Source organism: Homo sapiens, chromosome 15 (assembly GCF_000001405.40).
Source record: "Homo sapiens chromosome 15, GRCh38.p14 Primary Assembly".
Lineage (NCBI taxonomy): Eukaryota > Metazoa > Chordata > Mammalia > Primates > Hominidae > Homo > Homo sapiens.
This window is the reverse complement of record NC_000015.10, coordinates 67,839,654-67,852,526: the sequence shown is the minus strand read 5'-3', so window position 1 is coordinate 67,852,526 and position 12,873 is coordinate 67,839,654. Positions and strand designations below refer to the sequence as shown.

General features: G+C 45.6%; 1 non-coding gene across 1 annotated transcript, besides 5 other annotated features; it reads left to right on the top strand.

Annotated features, from left to right (window-relative positions):
* Positions 5,840-6,340: an enhancer, noted in NCBI's record as "H3K4me1 hESC enhancer chr15:68138525-68139025 (GRCh37/hg19 assembly coordinates)". NCBI's record gives its function as "activates a minimal SCP1, AML or CMV promoter by ChIP-STARR-seq in primed H9 embryonic stem cells {active_cell/tissue: H9 hESC(primed)}" and the evidence as "EXISTENCE:reporter gene assay evidence [ECO:0000049][PMID:30033119]".
* Positions 6,341-6,841: an enhancer, noted in NCBI's record as "H3K4me1 hESC enhancer chr15:68138024-68138524 (GRCh37/hg19 assembly coordinates)". NCBI's record gives its function as "activates a minimal SCP1, AML or CMV promoter by ChIP-STARR-seq in primed H9 embryonic stem cells {active_cell/tissue: H9 hESC(primed)}" and the evidence as "EXISTENCE:reporter gene assay evidence [ECO:0000049][PMID:30033119]".
* Positions 10,640-11,591: an enhancer, noted in NCBI's record as "H3K27ac-H3K4me1 hESC enhancer chr15:68133274-68134225 (GRCh37/hg19 assembly coordinates)". NCBI's record gives its function as "activates a minimal SCP1, AML or CMV promoter by ChIP-STARR-seq in naive H9 embryonic stem cells {active_cell/tissue: H9 hESC(naive)}" and the evidence as "EXISTENCE:reporter gene assay evidence [ECO:0000049][PMID:30033119]".
* Positions 11,592-12,544: an enhancer, noted in NCBI's record as "H3K27ac-H3K4me1 hESC enhancer chr15:68132321-68133273 (GRCh37/hg19 assembly coordinates)". NCBI's record gives its function as "activates a minimal SCP1, AML or CMV promoter by ChIP-STARR-seq in naive H9 embryonic stem cells {active_cell/tissue: H9 hESC(naive)}" and the evidence as "EXISTENCE:reporter gene assay evidence [ECO:0000049][PMID:30033119]".
* Positions 12,087-12,136: an enhancer, noted in NCBI's record as "active region_9635". NCBI's record gives its function as "activates an Ori minimal core promoter by ATAC-STARR-seq in GM12878 lymphoblastoid cells {active_cell/tissue: GM12878}" and the evidence as "EXISTENCE:reporter gene assay evidence [ECO:0000049][PMID:35858748]".
* On the top strand, positions 12,482-12,588 carry RNU6-1 (RNA, U6 small nuclear 1). Its single transcript, NR_004394.2, has one exon. It is a non-coding gene; the product is annotated as an RNA, U6 small nuclear 1 (small nuclear RNA).

The following is a 12,873-nucleotide window of genomic DNA, read 5'->3' as shown; positions in this document are numbered from 1 at the left end:
GCATTTATTGAGTGCCTCAGGTGCCTGGCATCACAAAATTATTATCTAATGTTTGTAACAGCAAATTTTTTCTTTTCTTTTCTTTTCTTTTTTTTTTTTTTTTTTGAGACGAAGTCTTGCTCTTGTCCTCCAGGCTGGAGTGCAGTGGCACAATCTTGGCTCACTGCAGCCTCTGCCTCCTAGGTTCAGGTAATTCTCATGCCTCAGCTTCTGGAGTAGCTGGGATTACAGGCGTGTGCCACTACACTGGCTAATTTTTGTATTTTAGTAGAGACAGGGTTTTGCCATGTTGGCCAGGCTGGTCTCGAACTTCTGACCTCAAGTGATTCTCCTGCTTTGGCCTCCCAAAGTGCTAGGATTACAGATGTGAGCCAACACACCCAAACTAACTGCAAATATGTATTGAGCATCTACTATGTGTCAGATACTGTTTCAGGCACTAGGAATACAATGGGGAGCAAAACAAAAATCCTGCTCCTCCTCATGCACAAATACTTGACATAATTTCAGTGATAAATACTTATCAACAGTATTAAGTACTGTAAAGAAAAATAAATGGAAAAAGAATGAAAGGAGGTACTTAGTCCATTTCACAGTGCTATAAAGAACTACCTGAGGCCAGACACAGTGGCTCATGCCTGTAATCTTAGCACTTTGGGAGGCTAAGGTGGGTGGATCACTTGAGGTCAGGAGATCAAGACCAGTCTGGCCAACATGGTGAAACCCCATCTCTACTAAAAATACAAAAATTAGCCAGGCATGGTGGTGGGTGCCTGTAATCCCAGCTACTCAGGAGGCTGAGGCAGAAGAATCACTTGAACCCAGGAGGTGGAGGTTGCAGTGAGCCAAGATTGCACCACTGCACTCCCAGCTTGGGCGACAGAGGGAAACTCTGTCTCAAAACAAAACAAAACTATCTGAAACTGGATAATTTATGAAGAAAAGAAGTTTTACTGACTCACAGTTCTGCAGGCTTAACAGGAAGCAAGACTGGAAGGCCTCAGGAAACTTACAATCATGGTGGAAGGCGAAGGGGAAGCAAGCACATCTGACCATGGTAGAGCAGGAGAGAGAGCGAGAGCAAAGGGGGAAGTGCCACACACTTTCAAACAACCAGATCTCATGAGAACTGACTCACTATTAGGAGAATAACAAGGGGGATGTCTGCCCATGATCCAATCACCTCCAATCAGGCCCCTCTCACAACATGTGGGGATTACAATTTGAGATGAGATTTGGGTGAGGACACAGAGCCAAGCCACATCAAGGTGCTATTTTTCCTTTTTTTTTTTTTTTTTTTTTTTTTTTTGTCAGGATTTCGCTCTGCTGCCAAGGCTGGAGTGCAGTGGTGCAATCATGACTCATAGCAACCCCAGCCTCCTGGGCTCAGGCGATTCTCCTGCCTCAGGCTCCCAAATAGCTGGGACCACAGGTGCATACCCACCTCACCCAGCCAAGAGGTGCTATTTTCAAAAGATCATTAGGGAAGGCTTCCTGGAGGAGGTGACATGAGAGCAGAGACCTGAATTAGTAAAAGGAAGAGCCTTACATTTATTGAGAGGTGTTTATCTTCCCCGGTCTAAAGATGTAGAAACAAATCTCAGAAAAATACTCTGGCTTTCCCAAGGTTACAAAGTTTCTAAGCCCTTCTCTAGGGGAGAGATTCTGGGCTCAGGTTCACACTCAGAGGCAGCACCTGAGCTTGGGACCCACCTTTAACTGACAGCTGTGGTCTCACAGCTCTTAGACCACACCACTTGGTAAGAGGCCAGCCCACTGATTTATTTCTTCCCCTCCCGCTTCTCGTCCTTCCTCCTTTCCCTCCTTTTCCCCCTCCTCGTTCCTTCTCTCTCTGCTTCTCCTCTTCCCCCACCTGCTTCTGTCTTCCTTTTACAGCATTTTATTATAAATACTGCAACGTGCACAACACATAAATGTTCAGTTCAGTGCACAACTCTAGGGAGAACACCTGAGTAACCAGCACCCAAGTGAAGAAACAGGCAAATTAATTTCTGCTGTTTAAGCCACCCAGTCTGTGGAACTGTTAGGCGACCCCAACCCCCCACTCCCAGAAGCCTTTATGTGTCGCCTCCCATTTTCTTATTTTTGGTAACTTCCTTGCTTTCATCATTTTACCATTTGTATATACGACCTTAAACAATAGTTTGGTCTTGCCTAATTTTGAACTTTATATAAATGGTATAGTTCTGTATATGTTATTAGTGCCTTCTTCCACTCAGTATCATGTTTACAAGATCTGTCCACATTGCTGGTGTGTTAGTCTGCTGGGGGGTTAGGGGTGCCTAACAAAGTTCCACAGACTGGGTGGCTTAAACAGCAGAAATTAATTCTCTCACAGTTCTGGAAGCTAGAAGCCCAAGATCAAGGTGTTGGCAGGGTTGGTTTCCCCTAAGGTCCTCTCCTTGGCTTGTCAACAGCTACATTTTCTCTGTTTTTACATGGCCTTTTCTCTGTGCATGTCTGTGTCCAGATTTCCTCTTCTAATAAGGACATCAGCCATATTGGATTAGGGTCCATCCAATAACCTCATTTTAATTTAATTACCCCTTTAAAGACCCAATCTCCAAATATGGTCACACTTTACAGTACTAGGGGTTGGGATTTCAACATACAAATTTGGAGGTAGAAGTGGGGGATATAATTCAGCCCCTAACACTGGAGGTATTGGTTGGTGCAAAAGTAATTGTGGTTCTTGCCATTACTTTCAATGGCAAAAAAACACAATTTCTTCTGCGCCAACCTAATAACTGTAGTTGATTCATTTTCATGACTGCATAGTATTCTATTGCATGAATATACCACAGTGTGGATATCCATTCTTCTGTTGATGGGCACTTGAGTTGTTTCCAGTTTGGGACCATTACAGACAATGCTACCTTGAACATTCTTTTACCTGTAACTTGGTGCTCATATGCATGAGTTTCTCTAGGGCATGTAACTAGAAAGGAACAACTGAGTCATAAGGTATACTTATCTTCAATTTTAGGAGTATGCCATTTTCCAAAGTGGTTGCACCAATCTCCCCACTCCCCAGACATATATTCTCATATCTTGGTTGCTCTACTTCCTCATCAGCACTTGGCATTGTAAACTAAAAATAAAATTCTAAGCCCCCCAACTGACTGAATGGAGCCCCCACTCTTGGCCAACAGGACTTAAAAACTGAGTTCCTGGTCATGACGAGACAAGAGGTCATATTGCAATCTGGACACAATAACTGAGCAGCATTGTATTTATTTATTTATTTTTTAGAGACAGGGTCTTACTCTGTCACCCAGTCTGGAGTGAAGTTGCATGACCATAATTCCCTTGCAGCCTCCAAGTCCTGGGCTCAAGTGATCCTCTCACCTCAGCCTCCCAAAGTGCTGGGATTACAAGTGTGAGCCACTGCATCCAGCCCAACTGATCAGCTTTAATGTTAAAATAGAGATAATAAGACTGATAGAATGGACTCTTTATGACTATATCAAACTATAAACAACACCTAAGGCCATGCAATGCAAGGGTTAAGTCACTACGCTCCCCTACACTTAAAAAATTAACTCTGTTCCAACTGCCACAATGTTTTTCTTTTTCTCCAGCAGCTAAACAAGCACTGGCCTTGAAATAAGCCATATTAAATAATCTGCAACTCAATCCATCGCCAGATGCTACCTAACTGACCCCCTGTTCCACAAGACATAACTACAGCTTTGATTGGACAAGAGTTATTTCAGTTAACTTTCTCCTGATGAGAAGACCACCAACCATGGACTGGTCTGGCTGGTTTACAGAGACTGCACACTTGAGTGCCTTTGTGTCCTGAAAAGACCTTTTGACATATAGAACCTAACTGTACTACATTTAAATGTTACATTTAAAAGTCTCCACTGCAAAGAGAACATGGGTCATATGTAATATGCATGTTTATTCAAGTATGCATGTATTAGGACCACCTCCATGAATATTCATAGCTCCTCCTGTATCCTGTTGAATACCTATACTTGGCCAACCATTCAGCTTAAATTCCTGTCTTACCCTTCCCTCTCTCCCTTGAAGTGTGTTTCTGGGCTTCGACCAAGGCTAACACTTCCCAGCCTGTCAGAATGGCCACCTTGCTGGCTATAACCCTTTATAAGAAACAAAGCTCTCCTTTCCAAATTTATATATTGATTGAGTTTTTAGTTAACAGCATTATCAGACTTCTCAGTGTTAATTGTGAGGTGGTTTTGTATTCCCCTGATGATTAAAGATGTTGAGGACATTTTCACATTCACCATTTGGAGCTCCTAATTTGCGATGCACCTGTTCAAGTCTTTTGCTAGCTTTTCTAATGTCTTTTTAAAATTTGTTAATCTCTTCACTTTCTATGCTCATGGCAATTTTATTCTAAGAGCATAATTAACACTTTCCTGCCACTGCACCTTCGTCAGGACCATTTGATCCACACTGAAAATGTGTATTAACTTGAATCTCAGAGAGCAAGTGTTGGAGGCTTCATCCCTTCCTTCTTGAAAGCCCTTCGGCTTCTTATGGAAACATTCCACCCTTCCCCTCCAATTTCCTACCTCCACATGTGGATACAGCCTCACTTCCTACTTAACCTGCTGCTACACCACCCTCACTGGATTATGAAAGTTGAATGCAATCATGTGTAAATGTCCAGCATGGTCCTGAGAACCCTGTATGGTATTAGTAAATACGACTTCCCTTCCTCCTTCTTGTTGTTGTGCAGAACGGAAGATGAGCAACAGCCAAGAGTACCATGTACTGAGTGCTCCTGAGTGTTAGGTGGTATGCTGAGTTATGGATTTTACTCGGGGCAGTAATGGCCTCCCCCTTGCCTTTCCTGCTTGGAACTTGGAGCTCTAGCAAGCATCTTGGACCATGAATTGTGGCCCTAAAGGATAAACGAGCCTGGCTGTCTGCCACAATGGAGCTACCAGACAAGTCCTTAAAAGACAACTTGTTTCATGTGAAAGAGAAATAAACCTCTATCATCTTAAAGCCACTGTTATTTGCTTTTCTATGATACAAAACAGAGCCTAATCTTGACTCTTAACGAGAAATACATGTTTTCAGTTCATTACAAACATGTGTTTGGTTGAGCCAAATTTTCCTGTCTCTATGAAAATCATTTTTGCTGGTCAGTAAATGATAATACATTTAAATGTCCACACTAAAATTTATATTTTTCAAACAGCCCATTGGGTATTTTCATGTGATATAAGTAATTGAGACATAGGGCCTTAAGTAGCTAAGACACTGGTATTCCCTATGATAGAAAGTATCCTTGCTCTTTATAAGAGGATATCTTATTTAAGCAAGCACACAAAGGTAATATGTCAGGATACTGAGGAGGTAATGAATTCATTTTTCTTTAATTGAATTAACAGCAAGTATCCACAGAGCTCTTCCTGTCTAAGTTAGCCAGACTGAGTGTATCGAGACAGTTTAAGGTGAAACTCTCAAGCCATGGTCCCTAGTCTCCATGACTGGAATGAGATAAAGATATAGGTAATGTCACTGTCATATAGCAGGCTAATGTGTTTGGTCACTGTGTTAGTCCATTTTCACATTGCTATAAAGAACTGCCCGAGATTAGGTAATTTATAAAGAGGTTTAATTGACTCACAGTTCTGCATGGCTGGGGAGGCCTCAGGAAACTTACAATCATGGTGGAAGGCAAAGGGGAAGCAAGCGCCTTCTTCACAAGGCGGCAGTAAGGAGAATGAATGCAGGAGAAACTACCAAACACTTATAAAGCCATCAGATCCCGTGAGAACTCACTCACTATCACAAGAACAGCATGGAGAAAACTGCCCCCATGATTCAATTACCTCCACCTGGTCTCTCTCTTGACACGTGAGGATTATGGGGACTACAATTCAAGATGAGATTTTGGGTGGAGACACAGCCAAACCATATCAGTCACTGAATCATTATTAAAATAGGAGGTAGTACATACATGCATGCATACACATACACTAATGAGGAGGTTGAAGAGTTTAGAGAAAGGCAATCTGATGCAGGGGTGAACACTATGGATTCTGATTTAAGGCCCTGGATTATTCATTTAATCTTTCTGAGCCTGTTTCCTCATCTGAAAAACAGTGGCTCTTAAAACAGATGTATTGTGAGGATTAAATGAGGAAATGCATATAAAATGGCTGGCACAAAGGAAGCACTGAATAGATGTTCCATAAGGTGGGTTTGTTTTTATTTTTAACTTGTCAATAGGCTAATCTCGAGCAAAGACTAATCTGTCACTTCGGTAGAAGGCTTTACTCCAGGCCATTTGAGCCAACCCCCAGCCAGGCCCATGGAGCGAGCCCACTGAAGCCCTGATCCCAACACCCTGGCCTGCAGTGGGTCCCAGGGCCCCTCACCTCCCCAAGGGAACAATGCTGCACATCACCAAAGCCCAGAAGAGCTTCCCGGTGTAAGTACAGATTAAGTTCCAGTTTTTATTTAAAGATCCTAATTTCTGGACATTTATTTTGGGGATTACAGTGGTGGCTTAAGCTTCTTTAAGACGTTTTAAGTTGAAGTCTTTCCTTCACTTGGCTGCTAAAGTTTAATTCAGTGTAATTATTTCATATGGCATCAACTATAATAGTTTCATAATTTCTAGTATATTAAGCACTTAATATGTTGTGTCATTTGAAATCACATATTAAATTCAGCAAAGTACATTTTAATGAGAGCTAAGTGGTGTGAAAATATTAATACAGTGTGATGTTTCATTTTGGTGCTCTGATTTTGTAGGTCTGTTCCTAATGCACAAATGCCTCACTCACCAGGTAAGGGGAATGCTGAGCTGCCTGAGGCTCCAATGGGTGTCTGACAATACTGATATTCCTGTCTTTTGTTGTATAGCAATTTACAGTGGCATTTCAATGGAGCCTCACAACCCTGTGTGGTAAGTAGAAAAATCATCACTTCCATTTTAGAGACGAGAAAACAGGGTCAGCAACTGGAAGAGACTGGTGACCCACCTAGTCACAGTTGATGAGACATAAATATGGACCTTCTTGGCTGAAAGCCATTGCAGTCTTCCCCTGTACCACTGCTGCAGTCACTGTAGCCTTGGCAGGGAGCGATGTCTGGACTCCAGGGCAGCCAGGATTTGGAGGAGGTGTGACACTTTTCCTCCCATCCTTGCAATCCCATACAGGGAAACTGAGAGCTAGAGAGAAGCTGGCAGACCCCATGCTCAGACTTGGCAATTCCTCTTTTTGCACCTTCTTTCTGAGCAAGTCCTCCACACCCTAAACCTAAGCGCCTTATGCCCTTAGGCCATCCTGGGACTGCCAGAAAAAAAGGTCTTGATGAAATAAATTACAGTGAACCCTCGATACAGCAACAGCTCAAAATAATGACGCATCAGTGGCAGGATTTAAGGCAAGAGTAAGAGCAGTAAGAGATTATTTGGAGAAAGCACTCCAGAACCCCTCAAACTGTACTCCCATATTACATGTAGGTGTAAAGTGAGCCCTCGGAGTCAGAGAGATCCGAGAGCAAATTCCAGGACCGTCACTAACTAGCTGTGTCCTTAGATAGGTCACCTAACCTCTGTAGGCCTCGCCTTTCCCTATCAGTAAAAGAGGAATAATAACCAGCACTACCCCTGCACCCCCATGCTTATGTCTCAGAGATACTCACATGAAATAGGATGCCAGAAGACCCTGTGTTGGTCTTAAAGGGCAAGGAATCGTACTAAGCTACGTAAACAGGTATTACTGAGTCTATGTAGTGTCCCGTCTCAAAACATAACTGCATCTTAACCAGGGCCTTTGGAAACTCAAATCCAAAGGATTAAAGACATCTGGGCAAAAATACTCCCCGTCGTGGCTAAAAGGAGCAAAACTTAGGGACTCCTCCCTACCCTGCTATTTTTACCTTAAAGAAAGTTTATTTCATGCAGATAGTTGCAAGACGAAGGAAAAGAAGAATAAGTAAGTGGTTATGTATTGAGCATTAGAATAGCCCAGGACTATTGTAAACACTTGGCATCAATCAGCTCATCCAATGTGCTAGGGCCTTTCACACCCAATCCTGCATTTAACCTTCAAATGACCCTGCAAAGCAGGCAGCACAATCACCATCCCACAGGTGAGGAAACAGATCTTTTAAGACATTCTGGGCACAAATATGAGATCTGGGGGAGAGTAAAAGGGGCAGCCTGGGCTATGCAGGGGGAGGGGCGGGACCAGAGGGCTCCACTGAGGCCCGGCATCTGGGATGGATTAGAACTGATCTCAACACACCAGGGGCCACCCCAGCAGAGCAAGGGCTCTGGGCACACCAGGCTTACAAGTCTTGAAAGAAACTCCCTCTGAGAGGTCAGCTGGCCACAGCTGACCCTGTCTCTTCCCCCAGGCCACCCTCTGAGCTGTGGGCACACAGACCGATTTGCCTACTCCACCCCCCTTCAGCTTAACTTTGGAAAAACTCATTCACATTGAGGTGAATTAGGTGACAGAGTGCACTTCAAAAGAGATGTTATAAGAACAAGGCTTAACTCAGAGCATAAGCAGCTCACAGGAATTTCTGGCAGCCTGGGGGAGTGGGTCCTCCCCCACACTCAGGCCTCCTCCAACCCTGCTCTGGCCATGCTCTGTGTCTGAGGCCTTTGGAGCTTCAGGGTCAGGCATGTGAACTCAGCGCATTGTCCCTGTGCTACAGTCCCAGGGCAACACCTCCTGAAACCACTAATGCCATTCCTCCCAGGCCTGCACATAAACAAGGTCACAGGGGCCTCTCTCCACATCCCCGCTCCTTCCTCCCTCCTTCCCTCCGGTGGGGCTGCTGGGAGTCCCCAGCCCTTCCTGCTTCAAATAAAATGATACACGAAAACATGCAATGCTCTCTGGCTGTAAGAGAAACACTACATAATTTTAGAGAATGCTAAGAGTTCATGTCTTCACTGACATTTTTTCCATATGAAACAGCCCATTTCTTAATTGTTCGAAATAAAGTTGGCTCTGCTCTCTCCTACTCAGGTAGTGGGAAGTACCACCTCAAACAGGATAGGGGGACCACTCCTCATCTCTTGGGGTTCTGTAGTCCAGAACATTCAGGGAAGACTGCCAGGACTCAGTTCTTTTCAGGACTGCAGAGTGAAGAGAAGCCAACAACTCTGAAGGCGGCAGGAGCCGGCTCCCACTGCAACTCCAAGCCTGCCCACCAGTCCAGTCCTCTCTGGCACCCACACTCTCCTCGCCTGCAATGCCTATTCCCTCAAGGCCTGTGGGGGCTTGGGACTTCCCATGAAGTCATGGTCCACTCGGCTCTCCCCTCCCTGAGCCCCTCCATGCTTCCTCCTCTCCTCCACCTCCATGCTACATTCAATGTATCCCCTCCCCTTCACCAGCCTCCCGCTTCGTCTGTACTGGCCTTTGGAGCTCAGAGGCATGTTGTGATACGGTTCAGCAGGTCCCAGGCCCTAGATCCACAGCCGCCCCTGGGGGCTGATCCTGGGGCCCTCCATGGCTCCAGGATGACCAGTTTGCTTCGCCCTTCTCAAAGAGAAAACAAAAACCCTCTTGAATTTTTACATCTTGCTAATTATTATTTTTTTTCATGGTACTGGGAGAATGCAGAATATCAGAAAATTACAATTATCCAAAAACGTCCTTCAGTTATCCAGCTGCAAGAATGCCAGCATTTCAATGCTGAAAAATGTCAAGGATCATCTCTAGGGTAGTTTCCTCACTTTGCAGAAGCTAAAACAGAACCAGAGACAGAGAGGTACAGGGAGCAGGCCAAGGTCACAAACAGTTCCAGGTGGAATGAGAACTAGAACTCAGATCTTTCTCCTCTGCAAAATTGCTCGACAAGAAAAAACAGACAAAAAATTGGCGGGGCGCGGTGGCTCACGCCTTTAATCCCAGCACTTTGGAAGGCTGAGGCAGGCAGATCACTTGAGGTCAGGAGTTTGAGACCAGCCTAGCCAACATGGCGAAACCCTGTCTCTACTGAAAACACAGATATTAGCCGGGGGTGATGGCACACACCTGTAGTTCCAGCTACTCAGGAGTCTGAGGCAGGGGAATCGCTTGAACCTGGGAGGAGGGGTTGCAGTGAGCCAAGATGATGCCACTGCACTCCAGCCTGCTGAAGAGAGCGAGACTCTGACTCAAAAAAAAAAAAAAAAAAAAAAATTAGCCCAGCATGATAGTGAGCCTGTAGTCCCAGCTACTTGGGAGGTGGAGGCAGGAGAATCTCTTGAACCCAGGAAGCAGAGATTGCAGTGAGCCAAGATCACACCACCGCACTCCAGCCTGGGTGACAAAGTGAGACTCCATCTCAAAAAAAAAGAGTCCAGACATGGTGGCTCACGCCTGTAATCCCAGCACTTTGGGAAGCCAAGGTGGGTGGATCACCTGAGGTCAGGAGTTCCAGACCAGCCTGGCTAACATGGTGAAACCCCGTCTCTACTGAAAATACAAAAATTAGCCTGGCATGGTGGCTGAGGCAGGAGAATTGCTTGAACCCAGGAGGCAGAGGTTGCAGTGAGCTGAGATTGCACCACTGCACTCCAGCCTGGGTGACAGATCGAGACTCCATCTCAAAAAAACAAACAACAACAAAAAATCTACCTCTGGCTCAAAGTAACACATGCTCATGTAGCCAGAAATGTTGAACCAATAACTAGGTGTATCTCATGCTAGTTTCCACAATAAGGCATTTATGAAACCACCAGCCCTACCTGTTCTAAATAAATGAATAAAAATGTGGATGCTAATTGAAGATTAGCATCATCTCCCATCCATGTTAATGTGCTTTTTGGTTATTTGCAATTCTCTTTTGTAAATCTGAGGTAAACATCATTGTCCAAATTAGCTCTTTTCACTCAGTAAAGGCCATATTAGCATTCTGAGGTTTGCGTTTGCCTACTGCTTATTTAGTAAGGTCAGATGAGAAGCTAGTCAAATGACTTCCATTTCACTTAAGAGGCGTACCGAGTGGGGAGAACTCAAGCCTCCAAAGCCCGAACTCCCTGGCAGTGGCTCCCCAGGTCCCTCCCCTCTCTCAGTACTGAGCCACAGCACTGCTGGGAGCAGCAACTACCACCACAGTGGTCTCCCGGGAAGGGCTGGCCCAGATGGGTGACACTGAGTCAGGTGGTTGCAAGGTCCTCTGCCTGGATCTCGGTCCCCGTCCCCTCAGCGCTGCCGCCGTTATCATCAATGACAGCTCCAATGTCACCTTCTCTCTTGCCCCACTGAAGTGGCCATCATCCCCCAGGCACTTTCTATGCCACACTTTCACAGCACACGTCTCGGCATCCAGAGGGCTCTTTCATGTCTGCCTGGCTCCCCTGCTGGAACCGAGCTCCATGACCATAGCAACCCTGCCCACTCACGCATCCCTGAAGCCCGGGTGCTGACACCACAGATGTTCAATATTTGTTGAAGGAATGGAAGTAGGAAGGAAAGTCTGAGCTGGTCAGGGCTTCTGGAGTAACTCTAACAAGGAAAGCGGAGGCTGCACTTGTGGTCTCAAATCTTTTCCAAACTCCACTGCGTAAAAAAAAAAAAAAAAAAAAAAAAAAAAAGTCTTTGAAACCAGACTCGCATCCAAATCCCAACTACTTTAACCAGTGGCAGGATCACTGGAGCAGATGGTTTAACCTCCCAGAGCCTGTTTGCTAAACTGCAAAATGGGGGAAATGATACCATTTAGGTTAAGCGCCTGGCTCTTTCTAAATGTTGGCTCAAACGGTGGTGACCCTTCCCAGACTTCCACCACTACTGGAAGTTTGCGTCCCAAAGCAGACACCCTCATCGCCTTGGCTCCGAATGCAGAGAGCTAGTTCCGAGAAGCCGAGGGGAAGCTGAAGGCGCGCCCTGGCCAACCCTCCCCACGATCCCCCGCCGCAACCCCTGTCGGCCCCTTCCAGCCCACAGTGGGTGGCCCCAGGCCTCGCTAGGGTCACGTCTCTCGGGTCCCCGCGCAGGGAAGGGTCCAACCAGCGACTCGCAACCTTTTCGGGGTCCCGAGTCCAACACCCGTGGGAATCCCATGGGCACCATGGCCCCTCGCTCCAAAAATGCTTTCGCGTCGCGCAGACACTGCTCGGTAGTTTCGGGGATCAGCGTTTGAGTAAGAGCCCGCGTCTGAACCCTCCGCGCCGCCCCGGCCCCAGTGGAAAGACGCGCAGGCAAAACGCACCACGTGACGGAGCGTGACCGCGCGCCGAGCGCGCGCCAAGGTCGGGCAGGAAGAGGGCCTATTTCCCATGATTCCTTCATATTTGCATATACGATACAAGGCTGTTAGAGAGATAATTAGAATTAATTTGACTGTAAACACAAAGATATTAGTACAAAATACGTGACGTAGAAAGTAATAATTTCTTGGGTAGTTTGCAGTTTTAAAATTATGTTTTAAAATGGACTATCATATGCTTACCGTAACTTGAAAGTATTTCGATTTCTTGGCTTTATATATCTTGTGGAAAGGACGAAACACCGTGCTCGCTTCGGCAGCACATATACTAAAATTGGAACGATACAGAGAAGATTAGCATGGCCCCTGCGCAAGGATGACACGCAAATTCGTGAAGCGTTCCATATTTTTACATCAGGTTGTTTTTCTGTTTTTACATCAGGTTGTTTTTCTGTTTGGTTTTTTTTTTACACCACGTTTATACGCCGGTGCACGGTTTACCACTGAAAACACCTTTCATCTACAGGTGATATCTTTTAACACAAATAAAATGTAGTAGTCCTAGGAGACGGAATAGAAGGAGGTGGGGCCTAGGCAGATTCATCTCTGCGGTGCATTTTGCCTCTGGCCCTCGGGCCCTAGTTTGCGATCTTTCCCATCTTGCCTCTGCTTCCCTCTGCACAATCCTGAGTATTG